Below are 15891 nucleotides of genomic sequence, written 5' to 3'. Positions count from 1 at the left end.
TTTGTGAGTGTATATCCAGTCCCAGCAATTTCTCCACATCCTCACTAACGCTTAGCTGCCCTTTAAAAATTAGAGTCATTCTAGTAGGTGTGAAATGGTCTCTCACTGCGGTTCCTTTTTTTTTTTTTTTTTTTCCCAGAGACAGAGTTCTGCTCTGTCACCCAGGCTGGTGTGCAGTGGTGCAATCTTGGCTCATTGCAATCCCCCCACTCCCAGGTTCAAGCGATTCTCCTGCCTCAACCTCCTGAGTAGCTTGGACTACAGGCACCTGCCACCACATTCAACTAATTTTTTTGTATTTTTTTGTAGAGATGGGCTCTCGCCATGTTGGCCAGGCTGGTCTCGAACTCCTGACCTCAAGTGATCTGCCCGCCTTGGCCTCCCAAAGTGCTGGGATTACAGGCATGAATCACTGCACCCAGCCTCTGTGGTTTTGATTTGCCTTTCCAATGACTTTTGATGTGATTATTGGCCATTTTTGTATGTCTTCTTTGGAGAAATGTCTATTCAATTCCTTCAGTCATTTTTGAATTGGGTTATTTTGTCTTTTTATTACTGAGTTTTAAGAATTCTTTATACATCCTAGAAGGAAGTCTTCATCAGATACATTATTTCCAAGTATTTTGTCTCATTATTTGTATCGTTCTTTCACTTTCTTGGTGGTTTGCTTTCTTTTGTTGCTGATGGTATCTAATCTAAAGAAACCATTGCCTAATCCAAGGTCAAGGAGATTGACGTCTGTTTGCTTCTGAGATGTTTTTAAGTTTTAGCTCTTACATTTAAGTCTTTGATCCATTTTGAGTAAATTTTTTAATGTCGTGTGAGACAGTAGTCCAAATCCATCCTTTTGTTTCAGCACCATTTTTTGAAAAGATGATTCTTTCCCCATCAACTTATCTTGACACACTTCTTGCAAATCAATTGACCATAGATGTAGCTACTTGAAGTTTTATTTCTGTTTTCCCTCAACTTCTTATTTTCAAAAATTTAAGTGGCAGGCCTTTGTTCTTCCCTCTTGTTACAGTTTGACATTCCTTCCTAAAAATCACTCTAAACTTTGTGACGGGTCCCAACTGTCCTCCTCACGTCCCCAGCACTTAGCTGGGGCAGTTGGCCTGGGGGCCTTGGTTCTCCTCCATGTGCCCCTCCGGCAGGCTGGCTCGGGCTTCTCACAGGGACCGGAGTTCCAGAGGGACAAAAGCGAAGATGGAAGGCCCCTTAAGGCCTTATTTGGAGTCACATGGTGTCTCTTGTGCCACTCTTTATGAGTCACAGCAAGTTGCAAGGCTTGGCCAGATTAGAGGGGTGGGGAACTAGCCTGTGCCTCTTGATGGGAGAAGATGGAAGGAATCTGCAAAGAATCTCTGACATTTTAATTCACTGCAATCTCTGAACATGCCAGAGTGTTTCCTAAGAACAGGAGAATTTTCCTGGATAGTCACACATGGTTGTAAAGTAAGCATCTTCAGAGAAGAGGACATTTAATAGAGGCCTGAATGAAGAGAGGGAATGAGACATGGGGAAGAGTATTAATATCAAGAGGAAGAGCACGTGCAAATGTCCTGGGGCAGAAAAGGACTTGGGGTGTTTGAGAAGCAGCACAGAGACCCAAGCAATGGGAGTGAGGGTGGGGCTGTTGTGAACATCAGATGGGATAAAATATGTAAAAGGGCTGTATTATGGAATAGTGAGGGGAACTATTTCTCTTCATACTGATTCTCTGAAGATATTTTCAGAGGGTGGGAGAGGACAGAAAAGGAGATACCTTCCATAATAACGCCCAGCTAGGTCAGGGGCAGGATGGGCCTTGGTGATACGTGTCCCCCGGAGTGTCTCAGTGCTACCGGCTTTTGCTGCCCAAAGCTGGTGCTACCTCAGGAACCTCCGCCAGCCCTCCCAGGTGGGCTGAGCACCTGCCTCAGAGCCCCTCCTTCCCAGCTGCCCAGCCCCAGCTTGGTGGCCTTGCCATGGGCTGCCGCCGGCTGACTCCCCTGGCCCCCTGGTGTTCAGGGTCCCAGGTTCCAGTGACTTTTAAGTGGCAACAGAGTTCAAAGGTGTCAACATTGTGAGGTGCAGGGCTTCCCCAGGGGCTGCTCTAGGACCTGGGATCTGTTTAGGTCAGAGAGCACTTAGCCAGGGCACTTAGAGAGCCACATCAGCCTACCCAGTGAGCCGCGGGTGGACGGGGGCCTGGCCACTTTTGGTTTTTGAGGTTTTTAGTATATGAAAAAAGAAAGCCAGAGACAGACAAAACAGGATGACAAGCATTGAGATGCACATTTAACTAACTGATAGTGCTTTAATGAAAATACAGGGGGAGAACACTTGTGCTATTCACAAAATATCGAAAACCTTATTTCCAAGTGCACCCCAAGTTACAGGTCCCTGGCGAGCAGCAGCTTCTTCAGTCCCACCTGGAAGGTCTGGATGACTCTGGTCACCCAGGATGTCCTCAACCAGACCACGTCTGGTCCACCAGGGTCCTTGGTGGCTGGGGGCTCCATTCCCACATGGTAAGGGAGGCTGCTCTGCAGGGGGAGGCTCAGGGGTCCAGCGGTCCGGGCAGGGTCTGCCCGCCACTCTCGCTCCCTGACTAGCCCTGTACACCGTGAGCAAGGTCTCTTTCCCCCTCTTTCCTCTTCCTCTGTCGCTAAGCGCCCCACTCCACACCCCTGCTTTTTATTTCTTTTCTCTCTCTGTGTGTCTCTCTTCCCCGGGCCTCTCTCTCTCTGTGTCTGTCTCTCTCTGCTCTCTTTCTGTCTCTGTCTCTTTCCTCTCTCTGTGTCTCTGTGTCTTCTGTCTGTTTCTTTCTTTCTGTTTCTCTGTTTCTCTCCCAGCCCTTTTTCCCTCTCTTTCATCCCCGACACTAAAGCAGAACCGTCATGGGCCCTACACCCCAGCCTCTGGATGGGAAAAGCTGTTTTGGGAAGTCTTGGGCCCTGCACCCCAGCGTCTGGAAGGGAAAAGCTGCTTTGGGAAATCCTGGGCTTGGGAAGGAGCAGCAGGTCGCTGGCAGCCTGGGGACTTCCTTCTCTCCAGGCAACCCTCTCCCAGCTGGAGGGCCCAGCCTTCCCAGCCCGCGCAGTCCCTGCTGCGTCTGGTTTCTGACCTCGCTGTGTCCAGGGCCGTGTTGTCTTGTGTCTCGGCAGGACCCGCACAGCTGGAGTGAGGCAGCCAGGCCGGGCCGTGGGGCGTCTCGGGGCTGCTGGCGCCCTCGTGAGGGGAGGACTCCCTGGAGACGCTTCTCCTTTCTCGGTCTCCTTCTGTCCCCTCCTCTAGCCAGTTGCTGCTTTCCCCAGATACTGGGGAATAAAGATGTTCTTGGACAGCAGGATTTGTCCTCTCACTGGGCTGAGGCCCGGCCCCTTCAGGGCTGCGGCTCCCGGACGTGCGAGGGTGTCATTGTCCCAGCCACCCGAGGAAATGGCATGCCTGTAAGGCGCGCCCAGCCTGGCTCAGCTGCACAAATGTGGCGTTTAAATATTTATTTTTAGTGGCTGCGGGTTTAATAGCAGCCTTCATTTTGGTGGGGGCAACCCTGAAAAGTAAAAATAAATCAGACCTTCGCCTTGTCAGTAAATCCTCCTGGCCCCTGCTGGGTGGACTCTGGGCCCGGTGCCCCAGTGTCCAGGGTGAGCTGGGAGGCCCGTGATTTGGGGGGCCACGCTGGGAGCCAGGCCAGCCTGCAACCACAGCTCGTCACGGAGACGCCCGAAGCCCTCCTTTCCCAGTCTCCCTGCCTGGCCCGCGCCACCTCCCCACCTGGCCCAGCTCACCGGCCTCACGCTGGGCTCATCAGCGGCTGCCAGGCACGGCGGCCGGGACAGAGGACCTGGGTCTGGCATGGGCACCTGCTGACCCCTGCTCAGGTCAGGAGGCCCGGGGTGCTCTGAGTTGCACATGTGACTCCCTCAGCCAGATGGGCTCTGACGCTTTCAAACTCCGTCTGTACCTCCTGCTGGCCTCGGCTCTCAGGCTACACCTGCTGGTCACCCTCTGCTTGCCCCCACCTGAGCTGGCCCTGGAGTGAGGGGTGAGCAAGTCCCCCGTGGTAGTGTTGAGGACGTGGTAGATCTGAGGCCATGCTTTGGCTTGGATTTGAGACTGTTGGGTGCTGGAATTCTTGCCCCACAGCCAAACGGGAGGCTGGCCCTGGAGGGTCTTGGGGGCCACTTCCCCAGGCCCCCAACAAAACTTTCTTCTGTCCTGCCTGATATGGGGCCTGGCATCCCTCTGGAGAAGGGCTTTTCATGGGTCAAGGCTGTGCCTGTCAGAGGAGCCTGGACCGAGTAACCCCAGAGGAGAGGGAACACCCACCACCTATCAGGCTTCTGCCGCAGACACATGAGTGACAGCTGGCCCGGACAGAGGCCCTGACCCCAGTTTTCAGATGTGAAACCTGGCTCAGAGAGGCCAAGTCCCTTTCCTCAGGTCAGAGCTCACAGAGGAGTGTGGGCTCACACCGAGCAGCCCATGCTTTCAATCCTCTTCCGGGCCATCTCCTCATTAAGTCACTTAATGGCTGTAGACACATCAAAGCTGATTGTTTTATCACATGATTCTCAAACTCAAATAATGGAGGACAACTTTCCACCCTCATTTTAGGGGGAAAGATTCTCTTGGTCCCCTAGTGTTGGTTTAAATGATTTTTATTATACTGCTACTTAAGTACATAAACACCTGCAAGCAGGCATAACCCTCTTATGCTTACAGCTGTGATAGAATCATACCACCAAGAGCCATTTGCAAGTTAAATACAAACAGCGTGAAAAGAGGAATGGCATTCAAATGAACAGAATTAGGCCAGGCACCGTGGCTCACACCTGTAATCCCAGCATTTTGGGAGGTCGAGGCGGGCAGATTGCCTGAGGTCAGGAGTTCAAGACCAGGCCTGGCCAACATGGCAAAACCCCATCTCTACTAAAAATACAAAAACTAGCAGGGCATTGTGGCATGTGCCTGTAATCCCAGCTACTTGGGAGGCTGAGGCAGGAGGATCACTTGAACCAGGGAGGCGGAGGTTGCAGTGAGCCAAGATTGTGCCACTGCACTCCAGGCTGGGTGACAGAGTGAGACTCTGTCTCAAAACAAATGAACAAACAAAAAACAAAACAAAAAAAACACAAATGAGGCCGGGCGCAGTGGCTCAGGCCTGTAATCCCAGCACTTTGGGAGGCTGAGGCGGGTGGATCACCCGAGGTCAGGAGTTTGAGACCAGCCTGACCAATATGGTGAAGCCCTGTCACTACTAAAAATACAAAAAAAATTAGCTGGGTGTGGTGGCATGCACCTGTAGTCCCAGCAACTCAGGAGGCTGAGACAGGAGAACGGCTTGAATCTGGGAGGCAGAGGTTGCAGTGAGCCAAGATCGCGCCACTGCACTCCAGCCTGGGTGACGGAGCGGGACTCTGTCTCAAAAAAACAAAAAAACAAAAAAACCCCAAAAAACAAAAAACAAACAAAAAACCCCACAAATGAACAACATGAGCTTAATGAGGTGTCTAATGGTCTAATGGTGTCTACTTTAGTGCCAGCTCCCTTGGGCTCAGCCCACCGGGGATGTGGGTCTCTCTCCATTGTCTTTACTTGAACTATGACAACTGCTTGTTTGCACAACACATGTTGTGCCAATGGCCCTTGGCTTGGATAGGACAGCAGCGTGCTCCCCCATTCAGATGCCAGTCACAGGATGGAGTACTGTGGAGTAAAGCTGGGGTCTGTGTCTTGTTTGTGCTGTGCCTGCATGCTAGTTGCTGAGCAGAGTCCCAAACATGTGGCATCTTAGGGAAGAGTTGGGGCAGGACTGGAGCAAGGGACAGCAGGGCCCGGCGTGGGGTGGGGAGTTGTGGGCTCAGAGCAGGGGATAGGCCAGGAGGCACACTCAAGTAAATCTTTTGCCCAGAGAGAAGGTGGCAGGAAAATCTCATGGCCTCCAACCTCCAGCTACATATGAGTGAATGAAAGCGGAATGACATCCCTGTCCTTTGTCCCAGGGAAGAGGTTTGTCTTGGAAGGGCAGCCCTTGAACGCTGTCCCGCAGGTCCCCCTGCAGGCTGCTACCTGGCCTGGATGCCCCGGAGCCTGAGCCAATTGTGCCACTGGCTGTTCCCGGCCTTGAAGCTCCTGTGGGCCCTCACTGCCCCTGACCGTTCCCTGTTTCCCTGAGAATTAAGGTCAGGCAGTGGGGCAGCCAGGCTCCAAGGAAGGACAACCAGATAAGGAAGGGGGCTCCCCACCAGCCTGAGAATGACTGACAGGTGGGCATACTAACCCCGCCTCCTGGGACTGACTGACAGAGCTGAACGCCTGCATCTGGGAAGGGCAGCGCCTCTGTCCCTGTTCTCCGTGGCCCCATGTCGCCTTCTCTCAGTGTCTTGCGGATTGAATGGGGTAGCCAAGAAGTGTGAGGCCCTTTGTCTTTCAGGCCTGTTTGGCGCCTCTCCACCTACCTGTGGATTGCCCTTGGGGTTGTCAGTTGCCCTGTACTGTATCTGAATGTGTCCCCCAAGATTCATGTCTTGAAATTTAATGGCCAATGTGGTAGTATTAAGAGGTGGGGCCTTTAGGAGGTGACTGCGTCATGAGGCAGAGCCCTCACGGATGGGATTAGGGCCCTTAGAAAAGGACTTGAGGGAGCGGGTTCATCCCCTTCGGTCCCTTCCGCCACGTGAGGAAGGATGCAGCATTCATCCCTCTGGAGGGCACGGCAACAGGCACCATCTTAGAAGCAGAGACTGGGCCCTCACCAGACACAGAACCTGCTGCCGCCTTGACCTTGAACTTTCCAGCCTCCAGAACTGTGAGACAATAGTCTGTTCTTTATAAATAACCCAGGCTTAGGTATTTTGTTACGGCAGACTGAATAGACTAGGACACCCTCTCTGGACACCAGAGAGGTGGTGGGTCCAGACACCCTCTCCGGACCCATTACACCCACTGTGTATATATATATATATATATATATATATGCTATATATACATAGTTCCCTCAAGCCCTTTTCTAAGGGCCCTAATCCCATCCGTGAGGGCTCTGCCTCATGATGCAGTCACCTCCTAAAGGCCCCACCTCTTAATACTACCACACTGGCCATTACATTTCAAGACATGAATCTTGGGGGACACATTCAGATATATATATATATGTATATGCCAACACAGTTTTTTTCTTCTGATGAAGTCTTCCTCTGTCACCCAGGCTGGAGTGCAGTGGTGCAATCTTGGCTCACTGCAACCTCCACCTCCCAGGTTCAAGCGATTCTTCTGCCTCAGCCTCCTTAATAGCTGGGATCACAGGCGCCTGCCAACACACCCAGCTAATTTTTGTATTTTTAGTAGAGACAGGGTTTCACCATGTTGGCCAAGCTGGTCTCAAACTCCTGAGCTCAAGTGATCTGCCTGCCTCGGCCTCCCAAAGTGCTGGGATTACTGGCGTGAGCCACTGCGCCTGGCCACAGATACAGTTTTATTAGAAAGTTCAAACCAACAGCGACAATAGCCACAGTAACTGTGAGCTTCTCCCCAGGTGCCTGGGGCACCAGGATTTCTCTCGCTGGAAGACTGAAGCTATCTGACCCCGTGAGGTATGAGCTGGGACGAGACGGTGGTCGTGGGGCAAAGGCAGCTTCGGCAGCAGTGCTTACATTTCACTTTTTTCTTAGTTTCCTCTGGGAGAGTGGGAAAGAAAGCAAGTCTTCGACTTTAGAAGGCAAATCTTGGTTTAGGTGGTGCCCCAATCAGAAAGCCACGCGTGCCAATGGCCTCTGGCCCATCACTCCACTTCTCTCTCCATGGAAGCTACGGCTCCATGAAGCTCTTTGGAAGAATTACAAGCAAAGCCAAAGTTATATTGTGGCCTGGATCTCTTTTGGAAGTAGGTGATGTATAAATTCTTAATTAAGGAGATATACAATATTATATTTGAATTTTCAGGCCCAGAGCCATCCTGGATAGCACAATGAGTGGAAGGGAAGTCTCTTATGTCCCCTGAACCTCCCTCTTCGGGTGTCTGCTTCATAAAAATTGCCAGAGAATTTGCTTTCCCAGAAGAGATTCTGCCTCCAGACCTCCTGGCCTGGGTGGGGACAGAGCATTTACCTTGCCAAGCTATGGGAACAGAGGGACTGTCCCTTTACAGGGCTACAGGGTTGCTGAGCTAGTAGGATGCATCTTTTTAGCTCCTTTCATGAGGGGAGGCCTACCTGTGATAAGATGAGATAGAGAGGCCCTGGATAGAGCCATACCTGAAGCCACCTACTCAGACGCCTCAGTTATATTAACCTACAAGTCCCCTCTCCTTTTTTTCCTACAGAAGATGGCTTGTGGTTGACAGAGCCTTGCCCACTGTAAGCACCAGGAAGCATGCAGTAAGAAGAATGTGGGCTTCCTCAACCATCCACCCACAGGCTGCTCTTGACTCAGGCCCTGTGATGTGTGCTGGGGGCCCAGGGATGAATTATGTCCTCAGTTACGACCTCAGTCCATTGAAGGGTCACTGAGACAAAGCCACGCTGCCCTATGCTGAATATTGGAAGGGTGGGTGGGAAGAGACTAAGGGAGGGCTTCCCAGAGGAGGTGACACCTTAACTCAAGGGAAGAATGGGGCTTGCCAAAGAGAGGAGAAAGCGTGGGCACAGGCCACGAGGCTGTCAGGACATGGAGTGTATGAAGAAACCGCAGGCAGTGAGCCGGGCCAGACTTCCCTGTGCTGGGGGAGGGTGGAGCGGTGGGAAGACAGCTGCAGCCCCCACGCCAGTCCTGCAGGGGCCCCAGGCTGGCCCTGCTGCGTGGAGTGTTGGCAGGAAGAGGCTGGAGGGAAACTCAGGAAGACACGCATGGCTGAGAACAGTGGTGGGGGAAGGAGGGGAGAAAGCCATTTTCTTTCCAGCCCCAAATGGTAAAGAAATGACCCTCCTCCTGCACAAATTGGAGTTCCTGCAGCTGGAAAGAAATCGGCTCATGCCATGTTTTATGATGCCTCGCCTGGGCCAGGCGGGGCCAGTACAGCCTGATGTGCTCACAGCTGGCCTGGCTGCCCCCGAAACCACAGTGACTGTCCTGCTGGCCCGGCCCTGGGCCCCGGGCCTCCACGTCCAGGCTGGAGAAACTTGGCTCCCCTGCAGCTTTCAAAATAAAGTGGTTTTTATTTCATATTCACAAGAGAAGGTAACAAAATATAATTGGGGTTGCTGCTTCTCATATTATTTATGCAGTTCTCCCCCCATCTCTCTTCCCAAAAGCAAGCCACAAAGGGGTCTTTGTTCTCTGCAAGTTCAAAGTCAGCTCCTCCAAGGGGAAACTTATTGGCGATTACAAGGAGGAGGTTCAGTTTTACAACGGCTGGCTGTCAGACCAGAAATATGGTACGCGTCAGGGTTCCGGTGGGAGCCGGCCAGAGTGCGGTCTGCAGGCTGCAGAAGCCATGTGAATGATTTCCAGTGAAAGATAGGGCAGGAGTGCCAGGGACAGGGGCAGCAGGAGCCACTCACGTCTGCTAGGCACACTCTGTCTCCATAGCCTCAGTTTCCTCACCTGTAGAATGGGCATCTCCACACTGGACTAAACCAGAGGATTTCATTCAGTCCTTTGGAGCCACGGGGCCCTGCCAACGCTCTCAGAAAAGAGTGGGCAAGACTCAGGGGCACGCATCCCCACTCCTGCCCTTCTGAAGGCTTCACTGATTGAATGTCCAGGTCAGATTTTTTTTTTGAGAAAAAGGTTTTTATAAACAAAAATCAGTAAAATCCTAGCTGGGTGCCGTGGCTCATGCCTGTAATCCCAGCACTTTGGGAGGCTGAGGCAGGGGGATGGCTTGAGCCCAGGAGCTCAAGACCACCCTAGGCAACAGAGTGAAACTCCATCTCTAAAAAAGTTTTTAAAAATTATCTGGGCATGGTGGTGTGTGCTTCTAGTCCCTGCTACTTGGGAGGCTGAGGCAAGAGGATGGCTTGAGCCCAGGAGTTTGAGGATGCGGTGAGCTGTGATCCTGCCATAGCACTCCAGCCTGAGACCCCATCTCTAAAAGGAAAAAAAAAATTGCAATAGCCTGGCCTGGATGAGCTTGAAGGCTCACTCCCAGCATCCTGTAGGAAATATGGCGCAGACAGGGCCTCCACCCTCAGCTGTCTGTGGCTCCTCTCGCCATGGTGGCCCCAAGTGGGGAGAATCCCAGGGATCTGGGTTGCCAACATCATGTCCCCTAGACACAGAGGGCCCATAGGGGTCCTTGGTGAGCATGCACTGGCTTCCTTAGCCACAAAGCTGTCCTGGGACCTACGCCTGGTTGAGGGTCCTTGAGGCAGCAGCCCTGGCCTTGGCTGCCCTGGGAGGCATCATTTTAATGAAAGCAGCTATTTCTGCAACAGCGAAAAGACCATCAGTGGGATTGCAGGTCACCTTTGCAGCTCTGGGCTGTCCATCCCCAGATGCAACATGATGTGGGAGGCCGGAGGCTCTGGCAGGTCCACGCTGGGAGGACTGGCCTCTTCTCTCACCCTGATGGAACCCCTGCAGGCCTGGCCACCAGACTCAGGGCCCACGACCTCCCAGCTTTCATTCCAGCTCCATTCCCAAGGAAGCCTGGGAAGTTGGGGGTGGGCTGGGGGAAGTGGTATGTCCCAGCGGCCTGTGCCTGCCACCGGAGCTCTTCACCATCCACCAAGAGGCGGGGGCCCCTGGGGGGAGAGTGGGGGACACCTGACCCTCCTTTGCTGGGAGCAAGAACTTCATTTGGGAGACCAGCGATGTGTTTCTGCAGCTCCAGGACGATGATATCGGGGCAGGGCAGGGAACTGACGGTGGGAGGAGGAGGGGCTTCCAAAAACAATGAAGTCTTCACCCTCCCTCTAGCCTCAGAGAGATGTGGCCCTCCCTGGTGAGATGCTCGGGGAAGAGGGAGAGAAGAAAGGAAGAGAGGGAATGTGAGGTGCCTCCTGTGTGCACTTCATGGAAGCCAGAGGGAGAAGGAGAGCATGGGAGGGGCTCCCTGCCTGCCTCCAAAATCATTCCAGAGCATTGATCTTGGGGAATTGCAGAGCAGAGGCCAGGCCTAGGTGAAGGTGGATGCTGAGGATCCCCCCAGGGCAGAGGACTATCAGACTGGAGGTGAATCCTGGGGGCCCAGGATTGCCTCCCTCAGTGGCCTCTCTGTCGCCCTTGCTGCCGGCCGTTGAATTCACTGATAAACATCAGCCCAGGGAGTTGAGACCTCAGGGCCCCTGGAGAAGATCTGTGCAGGCAAGAAGCGATCTGCTGAAGCCACAGTTCAGGGTCCTCTTTGCTCACATCATTTTACGTGAAAGAAGCTATTTCTGTGATAATGAAAAGGCCACGGCGGGGTTGCAGGTCGTCTCTGCAGCCCTGGGCTGTCCATCCCCAGACGCCATGCAATGTGCGAGGCCGCTGGCTCTGGCAGGTCCACCCTGGGAGGGCATCATGCTGCCAAGGTCCTCCAGCACCCACAGAGCTTCTCCCCACCTTACAGACAGGGAAACTGAGGTTCACAAAGCCAGTAGAGGTTAGGATTGGGGTCATTCCTGGGTCTGCTGACTCCACTCTGCTCTTTGCCACTTGATATTGGATGGGAGCAGGGCACTTACATTTAACACCGTGTGTCCTAGGGGGCAGGCGCTACACCCTGCACTTACCTGTGTTACCTTGTTCAATCCTAACACCATGAGTGGGTATCGACCCATTTTGCAGATGAGAAACTGAGGGTCAGAGAGCCTAAGTAAGTTGTGAGTGTGGATTGAAACGCAGACCTGCTTGACCCTAAAGCCCTGACCCGCTCTACCCCTGTGGAGCTCTGCGGCCTTCCCAGGGTGCCTCCCTTGAAGCTCCCTCGGCGGCCCAGGGGCATGCCCTAGGGAGCTTTAAAAAGGCTCATGTCTGGACCCCAGCCCCTGAGATTCTCATCTACTGGCTGGAGTGTGGCCTGGATGTCAGGGGTTCTTGGTGTTCCCCGTGGCCTTTTCTGGCAGCTGGGTTGAAAATCACAGTTCCAAAGGATGTCATCAGCCTCGAGGCCAGGCAGGGCCTGAGCTTCCTGCCCCGCTTTCCAGCCCCAACTTGCCCAGGAGAGCGAGGAGTGGAGGAAGCAGAGGCCCTGGCTGGGTGCATTTTGAAGGCAGTGAGCCTGGCCTGCCTGAGTCTTGGGCTCACTGAATATTCTCCCTGGATCTGGGGTGCCTGCTCAGAGTGAAGTCCCTGAGTGTGTTTACTTTTCCAAGAAACCCGCTGGGCTCATGCCACCTCTTCCAGCTTCCCGACCACCCAGCGTGATGTTGGACGCCTTGCTCCAGGTGTCCCTGTGAGCCTCGTGCTCTTGCCCCTGCCTGTCACGACCTGGCACAGCCTGGCTCATTTATCCGTGTGCTTATTTATGTCAGTCTTACCCACCTGAACGGACGTCCACGGCATGGGGGACCTCATCTGTGGCATCTGTCATGGTGTCCCTGGGTCTAGCACAGTGCCTGGCCCCTGGAAAGCATGTGTGTGGAGGAAATGAATGGATGGGGACGGGCTCACACCTCTGGGTGCTGATGTCATGTGTGACTTGAGGCTGATAAGCCGAGACCCCAGTGACTAAGCTAGTTGTAGGAAACCCTCAGTGCAGGGGGCTGAGCAGAAAACCCCTGGGAAGAAAGCCCTGCTGAGTGCACAAGCCCTGTCCAGGGTGGGGAGGGGCTGGCAGGCCCCAGACTAGTGTCCAGCTCAGCCTGGGCTGGGTCCTGGGGATCTGGGATACGGTGGCGCACCCTCGACCCTAAAATTGCCCCAGGCTTGTCCCCCCTGGGGTGAGGTAAGCAGGTCTGATGCACACGTCCCTTGGTACAGTCAGAACCACCCAACCCGAATACTTTACACTTCGCTCTTTAAGTCGCGCCTCTGCAGCTGTGGCAATGGGTGGCCCCAGTTTGTCTGGTGACTGAGCCGCACAGATGTCCGTTTGGAGACGGCAACCTAGGGACTCACACATGCAGGGAGCTGCTTGCCAGCGATGGGTAACCCGGCTCTCCTGAGGGGGCCTCAGGGGGTGCTGCAGCCACACCCACCCTAGCTCCCCTGCCCCTCCCCAGGGTCCCCTGCACATGCAGGGCTGGCTGGGCTGGAGGATCACCTGCAACCCTCAACCCCTGAGGGTCCCCAAACCTGTGTGTTGGAGCCCCCATGAGCTTTTCAAAGCCCGGTGTCCAGGTCCCCACCAACAAGTCAGAGTCTCTGTGGTGACACCTGGCCTTTGGTGTCACCCAACAGGCCACAGAACAAGCTTTTCCCCGAGGAACCGAGACACCTGCTCAAGCCTCTGCTCATTGCTGTTGGTAGTTCTGCTTGTGGCCAGCAAAGCCACATAATACCTAGGACAGTTTGATGACATGCAGGGATGCCAGGAGGGAGCTTTTGAGACCAGGATGGTCCTGGGAAAGTTGGGGTGTCTGTGATCCTCAGTAAAGGTCAAGGCTGTGAGCTGGGAGAAGGAAGGAGGGATCCCGAGGAAGGCAGCCGAGGCAGGTGTTGGGGGTTCATGATGGAGGCATGTGGGGCCTGGGCCTGGCGAGGAGTGAGCAGGTCCCCAAGGGAAGGAGGAGCAGGGTGCCCTCTAGGCAGGGGCAAAGAGGCTGCCAAAAAGGGAGGAGTGAGAGGCCGATGGGGTCTGGGGGAGAAGCACCAGGAGAGGCAGGCCACGCCGAGCAGAGCCTGAATGCACATTAAGGGAGCTGAAATCCTAGGCTTCAGGTAAAGGATAGCAGAAGCAGCTCAGTCCCTCTGAGGCTGGGACCCAAAAATGTCCGGAAGGTTGGAAAAGGCCACCATCAGCGGGCGTTTGATGTCCGGAAGGTTGGAAAAGGCCACGATTGGCAAGCTTTTGTGAATGGGTCATCTCTCCCAGCATCCTGTGGGGTCAGCTGGTCCCACGGGAGCTGTGGGGGCCTCGAGCAGCTGCTACTGAGCCCCGGCACCTCCCTCACAGTCCAGATATTTCCAAGCTGTTCCTGCGTCCCTGGCTATCCTTCAGTGACCTCAGCCAGGATGGAAGATAAACCAGCCACTGAACACGCATCCCTGGGACCACAGCACCTGGCCAGCCTGAACCACACAGCGATGGGTCTTGGGCCTTCATTCCTGGGACCCCTCACCTGGTCAAAAAGGAGGTGGCTCCTCAAAGTTAGGGGCCCTCCAGGCTGTGGTGAAAGGCTGCTTCATGAATTGTGCACGAGGCCATATAGAGAGGGGATAATTCCGTGGTGGTAGAGATAGGGGCCTCGCATTAGAGGGCCTCGCTTTTCAAGATATTTAGAAACGCAACGGCTTATTTTTGGGAAAGAAATTTTCAAAAGTCCTGGGTGTAAATAAGTAAATAAATAAAGCTAAAAATGGTCTCCAAGCCTTGGAGTGGCCCGATGGGCCTTCCCTGAGATTGTCCACATGTGGGTGGGCTCTTTGTGCTAGTTAACAAAGCAGTCAGTTCCCTCGTTGTTACCATCTGTGTTAGTCCGTTTTGCATTGCTATAAAAGGATACCTCCGAATGGATAATTCACTAAGAAAAGAAGTTTATTTTGGCTCATGGCTCCGTAGACTGTATAAGCAGGGCACCAGCATCTACTCAGCTTCTGGTGAGGCCTCTGGAAGCTTACAGTCACGGTGGAAGGCAAAGGGGGAGCAGGTGTGTCACATGGGGAGAGAGGAGCAAGAGAGATGCCAGGCTGTTTTAAACAACCCCTTATCAAATGAATGAATCCAATGAGTGAGTGAGAACTCACTTGTCACCAATGGGTGGTGCTCAGCCATTCATGAGGGATCCATCCCCGTGACCCCAACACCTCCCACCAGGCTCCAACGCTGGGAATCCAACACCAGGGACCACATTCCAACATGGAATTTGGAGGGGACACACATCTAAACACATTACCATCAGTACTATTTTTGTGGACTACATGCACTCATGCCTTGACTCCTGACTTCCGTGGGCTGAAAGTACAGCAGCATTTTTTTTTTTTTTTTTGAAACAAGGTCTTGCTCTGTCACCCAGGCTGATGTGCAGTAGTGTGGTCCTGGTTCACCTCTGCCTCAATCTCCCCAGGCTCAGGTGATCCTCCCACCTCAGCAATTTTTAAAAATTGCATAAACATTGTCACCTTGCATCATGAAGACAATAAGTGACTTTAACATTTCTGTTTGCTGGGCACAGTGGCTCACACCTGTAACCCCAGCACTTTGGGAGGCTGAGGTGAGCGGGTTACCTGAGGTCAGGAGTTCAAGACCAGCCTGGCCAACACGGTGAAACCCCATCTTTACTAAAAATACAAAACTTAGCTGGGCGTGGTGGCATGCACCTGTAATCTCAGCTACTTGGGAGGCTGAGGCAGGAGAATTGCTTGGACCCGGGAAAAGGAGGTGGCAGTGAGCCTGTCTCAAAAACAAGCAAACAAAAAACGCATTTCTGTCGTTGTTATAGTGTGTGTGTGTGTGTGTGTGTGTGTGTGTGTGTGTGTGTGTGTTTTGAGACACAGTTTCACTCTCTTACCTAGGCTGGAGTGCAGTGGTGCCATCTCAGCTCACTGCAACATCCACCTCCCAGGTTCCAGCGATTCTCCTGCCTCGGCCTCCCGGGTAGCTGAGACTACAGGTGGGCACCACCGTGCCTGGCTAATTTTGTATTTTTAGTAGAGATAGGGTTTCACCATGTTGGCCAGGCTGGTCTTGAACTCCTGACCTCAGGTGATCCACCCACCTCAGCCTCCCAAAGTGCTGGGATTACAGGCAGGAGCCACTGTACCCGGCCGTCATTGTTGTCATAATGTGTGTGTAGTAAATTTCAGAAGAAAGAGAAAAGCAGTCACAACACCGGCATCCCCAGGCAACCATTTCCATGTTACGCTTTTCTTTGTTGTGAT

At 53.4% G+C, this 15891-nt stretch overlaps 1 long non-coding RNA gene across 1 annotated transcript in view, besides 2 other annotated features; it reads left to right on the top strand.

The window, feature by feature from the left end:
• LRRK1-AS1 (LRRK1 antisense RNA 1) overlaps positions 1-15891 on the top strand; it is a 109606-nt gene that overhangs the window by 26850 nt on the left and 66865 nt on the right. The window lies entirely within an intron of this gene.
• Positions 6117-6618: an enhancer, noted in NCBI's record as "H3K4me1 hESC enhancer chr15:101658577-101659078 (GRCh37/hg19 assembly coordinates)". NCBI's record gives its function as "activates a minimal SCP1, AML or CMV promoter by ChIP-STARR-seq in naive H9 embryonic stem cells {active_cell/tissue: H9 hESC(naive)}" and the evidence as "EXISTENCE:reporter gene assay evidence [ECO:0000049][PMID:30033119]".
• Positions 12215-13001: an enhancer, noted in NCBI's record as "H3K27ac-H3K4me1 hESC enhancer chr15:101652194-101652980 (GRCh37/hg19 assembly coordinates)". NCBI's record gives its function as "activates a minimal SCP1, AML or CMV promoter by ChIP-STARR-seq in naive H9 embryonic stem cells {active_cell/tissue: H9 hESC(naive)}" and the evidence as "EXISTENCE:reporter gene assay evidence [ECO:0000049][PMID:30033119]".

This window comes from Homo sapiens, chromosome 15 (genome assembly GCF_000001405.40).
Source record: "Homo sapiens chromosome 15, GRCh38.p14 Primary Assembly".
Taxonomy (NCBI): Eukaryota; Metazoa; Chordata; class Mammalia; order Primates; family Hominidae; genus Homo; species Homo sapiens.
The sequence above is the reverse complement of the archived record's forward strand: the minus strand, read 5'-3'. Positions and strand labels throughout refer to the sequence as shown.